Genomic DNA, 16,764 nt, shown 5'->3' with positions numbered 1-16,764 from the left:
AAAAAGGCCGGGCACGGTGGCTCACGCTTGTAATCCCAGCACTTTGGGAGGCCGAGGTGGGTGGATCACGAGGTCAAGAGTTCGAGACCAGCCTGGCCAAGATGGTGAAACCCCATCTCTACTAAAAATACAAAAATTAGCCAGGCATGGTGGCAGGCGCCTGTAATCCCAGCTACTCGGGAGGCTGAGGCAGGAGAATCACTTGAATCTGGGAGGCGGAGATTGCAGTGAGCCGAGATTGCGCCACTGCACTCCAGCCTGGGCGACAGAGTGAGACTCCTTCTCAAAAAAAAAAAACAAAAAAAACAAAAAAAAACAAGAAAAAAAGTTTGCCAACCTCTATTCTGGACTTTAAATTCCGTGAGGATATGAGTCCGTCTTGTTTAACACTACATATTCATATACTCCAAGCTCCTAGCACAATGCCTACAACAAAGAAGTTGCTCAATAAATTTGTTAAATGAGGGAGTCGTGACAAAAGAAATAAATAGCATTGATTCCTGTTTTGGGCTGTAATCAAAATTAAGTTTGAGGATCCTCTAAAAGAATCAGATCCTTAGAATTGTTGTTCAATTCCCAGCAGGACAAGAGGACCTGGAAGCTTTTTTTTTGGTGGGGGGGTGGGGGGCGGGGGCGGATAATCAGGAGGAGAAAACAACTTCCCAAGTCACACCATAGCCATAATCATGGCTGTAACCATAGCCTCTTCCCACCCAAGATAACAGTACCAAATTTCACCATTACAGTTGCTCTGAAATAGTAACCTAACACTGTCACCATTCTTCCTTCCTGAATTTCTGAGACAAATGGGAAAGGAGAAGGAAGGGTGTGTGTGTGTGTGTGTGTGTGTGTGTGAGAGAGAGAGAGTCATAGAGACAAAGAGAGAGATGGAGTATGACATGACAAGTAGATAAGTGTGAGTTAAGTGTTTTAGGAAATTTTGTAGAATTTGTAGATTAGATTCAGGTCTCCAGGGTTTCCTAAATCTGCAAGAGTGGAAAGGAGATAAGTGACTGTAAAACTCATGTCTTCTTCAGATCTCTTAAAGTCAGAGACAGTTAGGAAGTAAATAAGGGTGCACCAGCAAAAAGACCACAGGTACAAAATTACTAAGAATGGCTTTCTCTTCTCTTCTCTTCTCTTTTTCTCTTCTCTTCCCTTTTTTCCCTTCCCTTCCCTTTTCTTTTCTTTTCTCTTCTTTTCTTTTTGAGAGAAGGTGTCGCTCTGTCACCCAGGCTGGGAGAGCAATGGTGAAATAATCACAGCTCCCTATAGCCTTGACGTCCCGGGCTCAAGCTATCCTCCCACCTCAGCCTCTTGAGAAGCTGGGACTACAGGCGCGTATACCACCACACCTCGTAAAATTTTTTTTTTTTTTAGAAACAGGGTCTCACTAAGTTGTCCAGGTTGTTCTTGAACTCCAGGGCTCAAGTGATTCTCCCACCTCAGCCTCCCAAGGTGCCGGGATTATAAGCGTGAGCCACCGCACCCAGCCTCTAAGAATGGTTTTCATTCAGTGATCTATGATGCTATTTCCCTCAAACTGAGCTCCAGTTCTTATTTGTTCTTCAGTCAGGAACAATGTTCCCCAAAATTTTTGTCAGTTATTTTGTTGTTGAAGAATTGTTCCTAAAGATGAGAAAGTAGAAAGTGATTCTTCCTCCTAAAACTGAACTCCTCTCTTACATACATTGTTAGCCTCTCTGCAAAAATAAATGCTCACATTGTTTTTGCTTCAGAAAACTTCAGAAAGAAACTGTGGTTCTTCTATTCTTTTTTATCACAAGATCTATCTTATAACATGAATCAGATTCTCTGTTAGTTTTGAGCATTTTGAAGTTACTGTAAAATTCACTCAAGGAGGCTAATCAAAGACTAGTTTTAAAAATAAGTATATGGGCCTGGCGCAGTGGCTCACTCCTGTAATCCCAGCACTTTGGGAGGCCGAGACGGGCGGATCATGAGGTCAGGAGATCGAGACCATCCTGGCTAACACGGTGAAACCCCGTCTCTACTAAAAATACAAAAAATTAGCCGGGCATGGTGGCGGGAGCCTGTAGTCCCAGCTACTCGGGAGGCTGAGGCAGGAGAATGGTGTGAACCCGGAAGGTGGAGCTTGCAGCGAGCCGAGATTGCGCCACGGCACTCCAGTCTGAGGGACAGAGCGAGACTCCATCTCAAAAAAAAAAAATTTTTTTAAGCGAATAAATAATTAAATATATGATTCAGTAAGGCCAGAAGTAAATAATTTTTTTAAAAAAGATTAAATAATAAAAAGAAATAGAAAAATAAATATAAAGTTAAATTTTTAAAGTCATTTAATTCCCTTTGAATACAGATATTTCTATTTCTGTAGAACACATTGTTGCCTCTTTTTAAGTAATTTATTCACTTACATTCTTAACCACTGAAGCTAGTGTAAACTGCAAAAGAAGATCAATAAATTAGATCCATAAATCTTGTGAAAGATAATCTGATGTTTCCTGAAAACTTGAATTTAGAGTATTTGCGTAGTGATAGAAACATTGTGAGCTCTTGCTCTGAAATACTTTCTGAGATGATGGAGCACAAAAGCAAAAGGCATCCTTTATGACTTTAAGTGAAGTACACTTTGGCGACATTGGTACATTGTATGAGTCTGGCAAGTTAGGTCTCATCTGTCCTTATAAAAGATAAAACTGCAGTTCAGACAGGACAAAGCAACTTGCTCAAGGTCAAAAGCAGTTAGATCAAGCTAAGGGTCAAACACATGTCTCTCTAATGCCAAAGCTTACTATATCATTATAGCATTCTACCTCTGGCTTATATTGTTTATTGCAAATTAACTTTACATGGTGGTTTTCATTTCATTGTATTTTAATCCACATTATGATATAGGTGACGAAAAGTGCCTGAAATTGGTTTTGGAATTATATACAGAAAAATTTACATGAGAAACAAATTTTGGGAGAAAGCATGAAAATATAGTTAACAGCATAGTTTGGAGTCAGGTAGAGCTGCATTCATTCCAGGCCATGCCACTTATTATATCAATAATATCAGTTATATCAATAATATTATATCAATTCTTTCACAAAAAAGCGAAGAAATGTCAGACTAAAATTTTGGAGAGATGAAAATCCAAAGAGGTAAACCTATGAGGTTGTTTTTTTTTCCCTATGGGGATTTATTGATTAAGAGAAGACAAAGTACGAGGCGGGTGGATCACTTGAGGTCAGGAGTTCAAGACCAGCCTAACGTGGTGAAACCCCATCTCTACAAAAAATACAAAAATTAGCAGTGCATGTTAACACGTGCCTATAATTCTAGCTACTAGGGAGGCTAAGACAGGAGAATCATCTGAACCTGGGAGACTGAGGCTACAGTGAGCCAAGATCTCCTCACTGCACTCCAGCTTGGGCAACAGAGTGAGACTTCATCTCAAAAGACAAAAAGAAAAGACAAAGTAGCAGACATGCAGAATGAACAAGCCTAGAGATCTAATGTACAGCATGAGGGCTATAGTTAATAAAACTATATTGTATTAGGGATTTTGTTAAATACGTAGATTTTAACTGCTCTTGTCACAAAAAAGTAACTGTATTAGATAATAGGTATATTAATCTGCTCCACTGAGGTAACCATTTTACTATCTATGTGTGTCCCATACCATCATGCTATAAACCTCAAATATACACAATACAGTTTATTTTTTAAAAATAAAAGTCATCTGAAAGTCCAAGCTAAGGTTTAGTTAGTCTCATGGAAGTAGCTGAAATCCAGGACCTACCAAGGGTGGGAATCCTGATAAACCACCATTCATTTTACAGTGAAATGCTGAAAGGGTACATCTTTAGCATAAGGGTGAGTCAGAAATAAACTAGTTCTATGAGAGCCTATGGGCAGTTTTCAAAAAATGAAAAAATCCTAAATTCTTAAACTGGATTACAGTGATCCCAGATGGAAAATGTCTCTAGATACCTGACAGGAATACATAAAAATTTCTTCTGGAGAAGGATAACATCTTGGTCCAAATGTGCTTCCATTTATAATTATTCAAATATAACATCCAGCATGTAGTGATAACTTGTCACATAAAAAAAGCAAACACTGACAGCAAGAATCAACAGAAAAAATAAGCAACAGAAAGAGACCTATGGTAACCCCTAATTTTGAATTATAAGACACAGACCATAAGGCTGTGCTTATTATAAACCTAAGACCACAGACTATGCTTGTTATGAAATAAAGCTCAAATGAGAATTTTGGCATCTAGTTAGAAACTGTAGTGTTATAACAATTTTTTAAATAATCAAGCCAAGTACAGTTGCTCATGTTTGTAATCCCAGCAATTTGGGAGGCAGAGGCAGGCAGATCACCTGAGGTCAGGAGTTTGAGACCAGCCTGGCCAACATGGAGAAACCCTGTTTCTACTGAAAAATACTGAAAATACAAAAAAAAAAATCAGCCAGGCATGGTGGCACATGCCTGTAGTCCTAGCTACTTAGGAGGCTGAGGCAGGAGAATCGCTTGAATCTGGGAGGTGGAGGTTGCAGTGAGCCAAGATCGCACCACTGCACTCCAGCCTGGGCAACAGAGCAAGACTCCATCTAAAAGAAAAAAAAAGAAAGAAAAGGAATCAAACAGAAAATAAATAAATAAATGTGCTTTATAGCAGATAAGAAACAACTGGGCCAGGCATGGTGACTCACATCTGTAATCCCAGTGCTTTGGGAGGCCCAGGCAGGCAGATCACCTGAGGACAGGAGTTCGAGACCAGCCTGGCCAACATGGGGAAACCCCCATCTCTACTAAAAATACAAACATTAGCCAAGTGTGCTGGTACACACCTATAATCCCAGCTCCTTGGGAGGCTGAAGACAGGAGAATTTTTTGAACCCACGAGGCAGAGGTTGCAGTGAGCCGAGACTGCACCACTTCACTGCAGCTGGGGTGACAGAGCAAGACTCTGTCTAAAAAAAAAAACAAAACAAAAACAAACAAACAAAAAAGAAACAACTGAAGAGAAAACTGGTAAAATAAAATATAAGGGGAAATTATTCAGAATAAAGTATGAAAAGTCTAACAGTGGGAAAATATAGATGAGGGAATGCAGAAAAATAATGCCATGAAAGGTCTAATGCATCTTAGTTGGAGTCCCAAAAGAAAATAAAGAGGCTTAACACATGTTTAGTTGGAGTCCCCCCCAAAATGGAGAGAAAGTTTTAAAAGCAATAATTGTAAAAGTAATGGTTTAGGATTTTCCAAGACCAATGAGAGAAATTAAACCAAAGATTCAAGAAGGCCAACAAATCTCAAGTATAATAAACAAGAAGAAATCCACAGTAAAGCACAAGTAAAATTAAGGAAAGAAGAAATGTGAGGGGGAAAAAACAAAGGAAAAAAAACAACAAGAGAAAAAATAACAGTAAACGGAAGGAAGAAGTTAAAAACAGAGAAAATTTTTTTTTTTAATTAGACTTTAAATTCTGGGATACATGTGCAGAACGTGCAGGTTTGTTACATAAGTATACGCATGCCATGGTGGTCTGCTGCACCCATCAACCTATCATGTACATTAGGTATTTCTCCTAATGCTATCCCTTCTCTTGCCCCCCACCCCCTGACAGGCCCTGGTGTGTGATGTTCCCTTCCTGTGCCCATATGTTCTCATTGTTCAATTCCCACTTATGAGTGAGAACGTGTGGTGTTTGGTTTTCTGTTCCTGTGTTAGTTTGCTGAGAATGATGGTTTCCAGCTTCATCCATGTTCCTGCAAAGGACATGAACTCATTGTTTTTTATGGCTGCATAGTATTCCATTGTGTATATGTGCCACATTTTCTTTATCCAGTCTATCATTGATGGGCATTTGGATTGGTTTCAAGTCTTTTCTATCTTGAACAGTGCTCCAATAAACATATGTGTGCATGTGTTTTATAGTAGAATGATTTATAATCCTTTGGGATATACCCAGTAATGGGATCACTGGGTCAAATGGTGTTTCTAGTTCCAGATCCTTAATGAGTTGCCACACTGTTTTCCACAATGGTTGAACTAATTTACACTCCCACCAACAGTGAAAAAGCATTCCTATTTCTCCACATCCTCTCCAACATCTGTTGTTTCCTGACTTTTTAATGATCACCATTCTAACTGGTGTGAGATGGTATCTCATTGTGGTTTTGATTTGCATTTCTCTAAATGACCAGTGATGATAAGCTTTTTTTCATATGTCTGTTGGCCACATAAATGTCTCCTTTTGAAAAGTGTCTGTTCATATCCTTTGCCCACTTTTTGATGGGGTTGTTTTTTTTCTTGTAAATTTGTTTAAGTTCTTTGTAGATTCTAGATATTAGCCCTTTGACAGATGGACAGATTGCAAAAATTTTCTCCCATTCTGTAAGTTACCTGTTCACACTGATGATAGTTTCTTTTGCTGTGCAGAAGTTCTTTAGTTTAATTAGATCCCATTTGTCAATTTTGGCTTATGTTGTCATTGCTTTTGGTGTTTTAGTCACGCAGATTTTCCCATGCCTATGTCCTGAATGGTATTACCTAGGTTTTCTTCTAGGGTTTTTATGGCTTTAGGTCTTATGTTTAAATCTTTAATCCATCCTGAGTTATTTTTTGTATAAGGTGTAAGGAAGGGGTCTAGTTTCAGTTTTCTGCATATGGCTAGCCAGTTTTCCCAACACCATTTATTAAATAGAGAATCCTTTCCCCATTGCTTGTTTTTGTCAGGTTTGTCAAAGATCAGATGGTTGTAGATGTGTAGTGTTATTTCTGAGGCCCAATAGAGAACAATTTTTAAAGCAGACACAGAGAAAGAACAGATTAAAATCAAAGGAAAACAGTTAGATTGAGAATTGATTCTCAACAGCAACTGAAAGATGAGAAATATATTCAATGGGCTTAAAGAAAATAAGTTTCAATCTAGAATTCTATATTCTTCAAGAACAGAGGTCAAATAAATTTTCTCACCAAAACAAAACAAATACCAGATATATTTTGCCACCAGCAGATCTATATAAAATATACATTTTTTTCTAACATCCTCATGGACTCCAGGGAAGCAGATCTATATTTTTAAAAAATTCTAAAGAATGTTCTTTAGGCAGAAGGAAAATTATCCTAGAGAAAATTGATGGTTGCAAAAGAATGAAAAATCAATGAAAATAATAAATACGTGGATCAATCTATGTGAATATTGACTATATAAAACAATAATAATGTCTTGTGGGATTATGTGTAAACTCATGCACCACATAACAATATTTTGGTCAATAATCAACTGCGTATACAACAACAGTCCCATAAGATTATAACAGCATATTTTTACTGTATGTTTTCTATGTTTAGATATATTTAGATACACAAATACATAGCATTGTGTTACATTTACCTACAATATTTATTACAGTAACCTGCCATACAGGTTTTTAGCCCAGGAGCAATAGGCTATAACATATAGCCTGGGTATGCAGCAGGCTACACCAAGTTAGTGTAAGTACATTCTGTGATATTTACATAATGGCAAAAATAAACTAACAATGTGTTTCTCAGAAGGTATCTCTGTCATTGAGTGACACGTGACTGTATATACATGTGCATGTATATATGATATGTAAATATATGTATATATGTATTTATATGTATATATATTTATGTATGTACGTATACATGTAATAATCTTGCATTTTCTACCTATGATGGGTTTATCGAGACATAACCTCAGGGGCATCTGTGTATATATATATATATATATATATATATATATATATATATATACACATAGGTAGAAAATATCGCAAGTTGAAAATGGATTTAATACCCTGGTAAACCCATGATAAAGTTGAAAACTTGTAAGCTGAATCATTGTTAAGCTGAGTCATTGTAAGTCAAGGACTGTATGATGAGAGAGAGAATATTATTAAAATTTTCAAAAACAATAGAGTGTAATAGAACTTAAAAAGTTTTCTAAAGTACTTGCTTTGTTTGTGAAGGGGGCAAAAATATCAGTAAGTCAAGGATGAATGTGTAATTTCCAGAGAAATCATTTATAACACTGTAAATGGAGTATATAAATTACCAACTAATAGCAGGAAAAATTGGAAAAACAATGAACATAATTTAAGGACATTATTAATCAAGGCAGCTTAACTGCTGTAACAAGCCACTTCAAAATCTCAGTAGCTTAACACCATAGAAGTTTATTGCACACTGATAATACAGTCCAATGGAGTTGACAGAGTTGAGAGTGGAAATATTGGTTGCTGCTCCTTAAATTCATGAAAGGGGGCAGATTGTCTCCTTCTAATGGCTCTGCTATCTTCAACTTGTGGCCTCCAAGGTCACTACAGAAGCAGGAAACAGAATGGACGAGGGCGCCACGAGACTTTTACAGATCAGCTTTGAAAGTAATGGATGTCACTTATCCTCATATTTCATTAGCCAGAAGCCAGTCCCGGAGCCATATCCTAACTACAAGGATGCTGGCGAAAATAGTTTAGCTGTGTTCCGAGAAAAAAATGTGAAATTATTTTAGTAGTGCATGATATTGTCTTTGCTGCAAAGGAATAGGTGAATGAAGAATAGTGGTTAAGAAAAGTTCATAATTTGAATTTAAATACATTAATTTTGAAAATTCAATCACCACTTTCTAGACTTGTGTTTTTACCTTCTTCCTGGAAACATACAAGACAAAAGTGAAATTTCGGTGACACTGATTTTATAGTGTTACTTTGATTATTGTCAGGTAAAAATGCATGTGAATATGGAAAAGTGTAGTTATCTAGAGACCAGGATTTTAGTCTAGCACCTCACTTACTATTTAACCTTGAAAACATCCCTTTCTTTCTTTCCTTTTTTACACAAAACTTAAGAGGCTTTTTTTCATCTGTAAAAAGAGCATAGTAATGCTTGCCTTTCTCCTTTCAACACTATCAGGCTCAGATGAGATATATAAAGTGGAAGCATCTTAAAATTCTGAAGTGCTACTCAAATGTAAGCTATTATTATCACATTCTCAATCTTATTCAAAGCCATGTGCTTTTGAATTGTCCTATATAGACTCATTATAGGACACAGATTTGGAGAACATTTTAAAGATTATTTAGCGCAAACTTTGCAGATGCAAAAATTAAGAGCCTAAGAGATGAAGTGACTTGACTGAGGTCACGCTGTTGGCCAATGACAGTCAAATCTTGAAGACCATTGGTTAAGTTTCAGTGGCTTCCAAATGGAGAAATGGTATGCTTGTGGCATAAGACTCACTGGGTAAGGTGTTAAAAATACAAAGTTTCAAGATTCAATTCATGTAAATTTTGATTTAATAAATCTGAAAAGAGGCCAGTAAATCTGTATTTTTTAAAGTAAATCAATTGCCATCATAACTTGTTAGTGGCTCAAAAGGAAGTTAAATTGTGGGTTATTTTAGCTACTCTGCAAAATGAGAATAGAGATAGTATTCTTATTTTTTTTTTTTTCCTTTAAGAGACAACTCCTTGTACTTCTGAGAGGAGCAGCAGGCCAGCCCTCTACTCATCTTTCACTGAACAGCTTAATGACAGTCAGCACATATTTAACCAATGACAGATTATGTGTGAAATCTGTAATTAGGCAGCTAATCTTTTTTTAAAAAATGTATTTCCAAGTACTAATATGTACATTTTCAAGAGTCTAAATGCTAGGTAACATCTCTGAATATATTTGAGTCTCTTATCTTTTTTTCCCCTAAGAGCACTTTATTTTTTAATTTAATCAAGTAATTAATTAATTTATTTATTTTGAGATGGAGTTTCGCTCTGTCACCCAGGCTGGATTGCAGTGGTGCGATCTCGGCTCAGTGCAACCTCCACCTCCTGGGTTCAAGTGATTCTTGTGTCTCAGCCTCCCAAGTAGCTGGGACTACAGGTGAGCTAGAAAGGGCACTTTAACTAGAACAGTAATAGCGCAGAAAATGAAAATACTTGTTACTTTAGGGACAATAACATTGTAGTGACTAAAAAGGATAAAACAGAAAATCCAATTGTATATAAAGTATACATATATGTAGGATGTACATCCTCTGTGTTAATCACCCATATCTGTTACCTAATTTATACAGTTAGTAGTTAGAACATCTCCAGGGGCCTAAGCCTTACGGTTGTGAATGAATAAGTCTGTCCCAGGGGATAATGGGATCCAGACCCTCCCACTTGTCTCAGGCAGTTAGAGAGAACAAAGAGAGGTGATTAAGAAAATCAGAAAGACTTCCTCTAGAGGGAAAGTCTGTGTTTTGGAGGGTACATTCCCTTTTACTGAGAGGAAGGCTGATGAGTTGAAACATCTTCACCTTAGTGGAATGAAACACCTTCACCTTGGGGAAGTGTAGTGACTCGGTGACTACAGATCTCTAGAGACAATACTCATGTTTGCATTATACCCTGCCAGTTTTTCCTAAAATCTCAGAGACAGTTGCACCTTTCCTTCTTTTTTATTTTTGTTTGAGAGTAGGAGTAATTTTGAAAACTCGTAACTCAAGAATCTTCTTCCATAGGAAGGTCCTGAGAAAAAGGAGGTAGACACTACTTCCCTCATTGGAACAACCTTGAGTTTTTCTCTGCCCAGGTTAGCAGCCACTAGTTAACATTTTACCAGAATTCTGCCAACTCCTTTTTTAAAAGTGTTATTATCAAAATAATATTGTTAAAATGATCATACTACTCAAAGCAATCTACAGATTTAATGCAATCTCTTGAAATACCAATGACATTCTTCACAGAAATAGAAAAAAGAAAAAGCCTAAAATTTGTGTAGAACCACAAAAGAGCCTAAATAGTCAAAGCAATCTGAGAAAAAAGAATAAAGGTGGAGGCATCACACTACCTGATTTTAAAATATCCTACAAAGCTACCATAACCAAAATAACATGTGACTGGTATAAAAACAGACACATAGACAAATGGAACAGAATATAGAACCCAGAAATAAATTCATATATTTATAGTCAAGTGATCTTTGACAAAATCACCAAGAATATATACTGGGGAAAGGATACCCTCTTCAAGAAATGGTGCTGGCACAACTAAATATTCATATTCAGAAGAATAAGCTAGACACCCATCTCTTACCATAAACAGAAATCAAGTCAAAATGGGGTCAACACTTAAACATAAGACCCAAAAGTATACTACTACTAGAAGAAAACACAGAGTGGATGCTACAGGGCATTGGTCTAGGCACAGACTTCATGGCTAAGACCTCAAAAGCACAGGCAACAGAGTCAAAAAACAGACAAGTGTGACTATATTAAACCAAAAACCTTCTGTACAGCAAAGTAAACAATCAAAAGTGAAGAGACAACCTGCTAAATGGGAGAAAATATTTTCAGAGTATTCAGCCTACAAGAGATGAATATTCAGAATATAGGTGACTTGAACAACTCAATAGCAAAAGAAATAAATAATCACCTTTAGTAAGTGGGCAAAAGATCTGAACAGATATTTCTCAAAAGAAGACAGACAAATAGGCAACAGGTATGTAAAAAAATGCTCAACATCAGTAATCATCAGAAAAATGCAAATCAAAACCATAATGAAATATAATCTCACCCCAATTAAAATACTATTGTCAAAAAGACAAAAAATAGGCCAGGCTTCGTGGCTCATGCCTGTAATCCCAGCACTTTGGGAGGCCAGGGCAGGTGCATCAGTTGAGGTCACAAGTTGGAGACCAGCCTGGCCGACACAGTGAAACCCTGTCTCTACTAAAAATACAAAAATTAGCTAAGTATGGTGGCATGCACCTGTAATCCCAGCTACTCGGGAGGCTGAGGCAAGAGAATCTCTTGAACCTGGGAGGCAGAGGTTGCAGTGAGCTGAGATCGATTGTGCCACTGCCCTCCAGCCTGGGTGAGAGCAAGATCCCATCTAAAAAAAAAAAAAAAAAGAAAAAAAGAAAAAAATAACAAATGCTGGCAAGGATGCAGAGAAAAGGGAACTCTTATACACTGGTGGTGAAATTGTAAATTAGTACAGCCATTAAGGAAAACAGTATGAAGGTTTCTCAAAAAACTAAAAATAGAATTACCTATGATCCAGCAATCCCACTTCTGGGAATTTATCCAAAGGAAAGGAAATCATTACATTAAAAGGACACCTGCACCTCCATGTTAACCACAACACTATTCAATATGGCTAAAATATGGAATCAACTTAAGTGTCTATCAACGAATGAATAAAGAAAATGTGGTGTATATACACAATGGAATACTATTCAGTCATAAATAAGAATGAAATCCTGTCATTTGCAAGTTTGCAAACATGTTTGGACTGGAGGTCATTATGTTAAGTGAAATAAGCCAGGAATAGAAAGGCAAATATCGCATGTCCTCACTCATATGTGAAATCTTATGGAGGTAGAAAGTAGAATGATAGTTACCAGGGACTGGGAGGGAGAGACAGGTGAAGAAAGGTTAGTTAGCAGGTACAAGATAGGTAGAGTTAGAATAAAAAAGTTCCAGCGTTTGCTAGCACAGTAGGGTGACAGGTGACTATAGTTAACAACAATATATTGCATATTTCAAAAATAGCTAGAAGAGAAGACTTGAAATGTTCCTAACACAAAGAAATGATAACTGCCATGTTGAAGGAGATCCTAAACACCCTGATTTGATCATTACACATTCTATGTGTGTATCAAAATATCACGTGTGTGCCATAAATATGTGCAAATATTATGTATCAATAAACAAAACCCTCTTAATTCAAGGATCTCCTTCCTTAAGAAGGCCCTGAGAAAAAGGAGATACTTCTTCCCTCTTTGGAGCAATGTTGAGTTTTTCTCCATCCAAATTAGCAGCCAACAGTTGGTTGTTTTACTAGCATTCTGCCAGCTCCCTTTTAAGAACTGGAGGCAGTTTCTGAGGTTCCAGGTTTTGAGATTTGTGACCCCATAGAGAGAACTCGAATTTCAGAGGACTGCCGTGGTGTTTGCCTTTTGATTCCAGAAGGGCTTGCTCTTAGAATTAGATATCAGTGAAACTGAGTTCTTTCATTTTTCTATACCCTTGGACTTGACCTGAGAAGTTTAGGAAAAGAAAACAAGATTTTCGTATTGGTGTTTAAAAACCCCGGACCCCAGAAACTTGAGCCGTGACTTCTGGAGAAGTAGGGGAAGCCGTAGCAAGTCCTTAGAGACTGGGTCAGACATATCTTAACCCAGACCACCATGGTTCAAATCCTGCATCTGCCATTTATGAGCTGCGAAGCCTTAGGGAGGTTACTCCCAGCCTGGGATTCATTTTCCTTGGACATAATAGTACCACTCTCTCACTATTGTTTCAGGAATTCATGAGGTAATACCTGGAACGTGATGCATAGAACAGAGCCCAGCACATGGTATGAACTATGGAGAGGTAGGGCATTTACCACCTTGGCAAACATTTGTTTCCCCTCACTGAGGTATTGGAGTCAGGTTGTTGATTTCATGAGGCCAATATAACTAAGGCAAGAGGAACTTCGGTAGTAACCAGTGTGAATGAAAGATGAACTGGTGTCTTCAGATGTTTTCTGAGTGAAACTCAGAGACTTCTGCAGAATCCAAGAAGTACGAGACGACCCTCTCAATTGGATTTTCAGTGATTGGTGAGATAGGGACTAGAGAGACAGGCATAATTTCACTTAAAGAAAATGGAGACATGAAAGAAAATTTATATTCTATGTATTTATAGGTGTATGCATATGTTTAGGCATTTTAGGTATATACATGTGTAAAAATACATTGAAGTACATACATTTTTGCTTATGTGTTTCTGCATGTGGATATATGCGCGTGTGTTTCTCTATGAAAAAAACAATTCAACATGGCCATAAACCTATTATATAGCTCTCAATTTTAACTCCTGTGACAGCCAGTTAGTTGTCTTATTTCCCAACTGTTAGCACAGTGATGTGTGTGTTATATGTGCCATTAAATTTTGGAGTAAATGGCTGAGAAAGTGAAAATTGTAATAAAAATGGGCCATATAAACTATGTATCATCTGCTACCTGTGCTTCATTCCCCCACTCTCACCACTATGTCTTTTACATTTTCCATTTTAAAGTCCATAATAATAATAACAATATCATAGCTGCAGTTCATAGAAAGAAAAAAACCAGATTCCTGATATAATACAAGCTGAAACAGAGCAAAAAAATTAAGCATAGGAAGGGAGGTGATGAGCACATTTCCCATCCTATCTACTAGGCAAGAAAGCCAAAGTGGAAAGTATTTAGATTTCCCTTTCCTAAGAAGCAGCAGCAAATTATTTAAAAAGCCCACTATCCTTCACACCAAGGCTGAATACCAGCTCACATCTACTTTGAAGACATATAAAACAAATGCTAATGAATGCTAGACTTCCTGTGAAGTAAGCACTTCCAGGTGAGAAAAATGGGAACTTAAAAGAAAGTTAAGTGTCTTAAGGCCACCCAGCTGACAAGTGGCAGAAAAGGAATTCAATTCCAGGTCTCATAGACCACAAAGCTTAAGATTCCTCCTCTTTCCTCCCCTCCCCTCCCCTCTTTTCTTCTTTTCTTTTCTTTTCTTCTCTTTTTTCTTTTCCTTTTCTTTTCCTTTTCTTTTCCTTTCTTTTCTTTCCTTTTCTTTTCTTTTCTTTTCTTTTTTCTTTGACAGGGTCTTGCTCTGTTGCCCAGGCTGGATTGTAGTGGTGTAATCGTAGCTCACTGTAACCTAGAACTCCTGGGCTCAAGTGATCCTCCAGTCTTAGCCTCCCTGGTAGCTGGGACTACAGGCTTGTGACACCACACCCACCTGATCTTTTACTTTTTTGTAGAGATGAGGTCTTGTCATGTTGCCCATGCTAGCCATGATCTTTCTCCATACTGTCCTGTCCTTATGGAGGTACTGAACACCAAGATAAAAACTGAAAAACCTTCATGTCATTATGAATGATGAGAAGAAACAAATCAACAAGCAAAAAAACTGGAAAACTTTCCATCACATATCTACAGTTTAAAACAATCCTAGTTTTTTCAAAAGCCCATTAGCGTTATTTTGTATTGAAGAGAAAACCACTGTATTTCAGGAGGGGCTTCCTTCAAGGAAAGTTGTCCACAGGACCTGGCTACTCTGACCACAGTTGGCAGCTCATCAGAGATGAGCTCCCAACCCCAGCCTTCAGGCAATGAGATGGTCTTGTTCCAAAGTATAGATGGTGGTTGACTGATGCAGTCTCTCTGTCTTTCTATTTTATAATAATGTATGTCTGTTAGTAGAAAAACAGAAGTTGGAAAATACAGACATGAAGCCAGGTGTGGTGGCAGGTGCCTATAAACCCAGCTGCTCAGGAGGTTGAGGCGGGAGGATCAGTTGAGTTCTGGAGTTCAAGGCCAGCCTAAGCAACATATCTTATCTCTAAAAAATAAATAAATGGATAATTAAAAATAAAAAAGAAAGACACAGACATGACAATAAACATAAGCCATGAGTTATTAGAGATCACAGAACAGTCCAAGCAATGAGTGAGCAGATTTTGTAAAACAGAGAGGACCAAGAAGTGAGTCGACAGTGGAAGGAGCAGGTGCAGAGACATGGAGAGCACTGGTGGCAATAAGGCTGGGACATTCAGGCCCAATGCCAGTGAGGCATTAAGGTAGGCTGCTGAAGAAGGATGAGAAGGGATAACTGAGTCACTGCTATTGTGGTCTCTCCAGTGAGGTCTGGGTGTATACTGGTGGTTTCCTGCCTTCTACATTTCCTCTATAGCCTTACAGCCAACTCCGTGAACTAAGTGAGATAACCTGAGTGCATCTCTGTTCTTTGCACCTTGATCAAGCTTAATACATTGGCTTACAATTTTATACTAAAGGCTTAAAAGGTCTAATTGACAATTTACTGTCACTCATGAGGTACACCTAAAGTCAACTGCTCGAGCTGCTTCTATCTTTAGATAATTCTCTGGCAAAAGTGGGTTTCAAAACCAAAAAATTTGAAACTACATTAACATAGACAAAAAGGGCTTTAATTGGGTAACTATCAGATTCTACTATCTAAATGAATTTTCTACTCTATTAAAATAACAATGATTGAAACTTCAAAGCAAACTCAGCCTGGTTGTTTACTCTGCCACTCTAAGTACTTCTGTAAGATATCTAGATATTTTGTCAGACATTTGTTACTGAGCTTAATTTCTCTTTGTTCCTTTTAAAAGTCTTGATTCAGAAAGAACAGGAATGCTTTGAATTTTCTTTCTAATGCAATTCTATTTTATACCTGTGTGAAGAAATGTCTAATTCTGAATGTGTACAAATAGATGGAACCCACAAGTGAAAGTGAAGATGTTAAGAAGAGGTTGGAGGAAATTAAAATACCAAAAGCTCTAAGGGAATTGTGGAATATTTATGAAAATATGTGGTGCGTTTTGAAATGCAGGTGTCTCTGGAACTGGAAATGTAATCATAAGAAGGAAAACTGTCTTTAATAAATCTTCTTAATTAAAAACTATTGTTCAGAAAAAATATAAATCCTCCTTCAATATTAGAAACAGTAGCAAGAAGTGAGAAAAGTATGGATTCAATCAGATTGCAGCAAAGAATTGTTATTAAGAGTTCCTGGTTACAACACTTTTTTTTTTAAGCTAAAGAAGTAGCATTTTTGGTAGACTGAACATAAATTGTTTGCTATTATGGTACCCAATGAGGTGAAAACAATGGAGGCTTGTAGCACAAAAATATATCCAATTATTGATAGGGAGAGAGAGTGTGTTAGAATTACCGTCAAATCACATGTACTTAATTTTTTT

Source organism: Homo sapiens, chromosome 8, assembly GCF_000001405.40.
Source record: "Homo sapiens chromosome 8, GRCh38.p14 Primary Assembly".
Taxonomy (NCBI): Eukaryota; Metazoa; Chordata; class Mammalia; order Primates; family Hominidae; genus Homo; species Homo sapiens.
Note: the sequence above shows the minus strand (reverse complement) of the source record.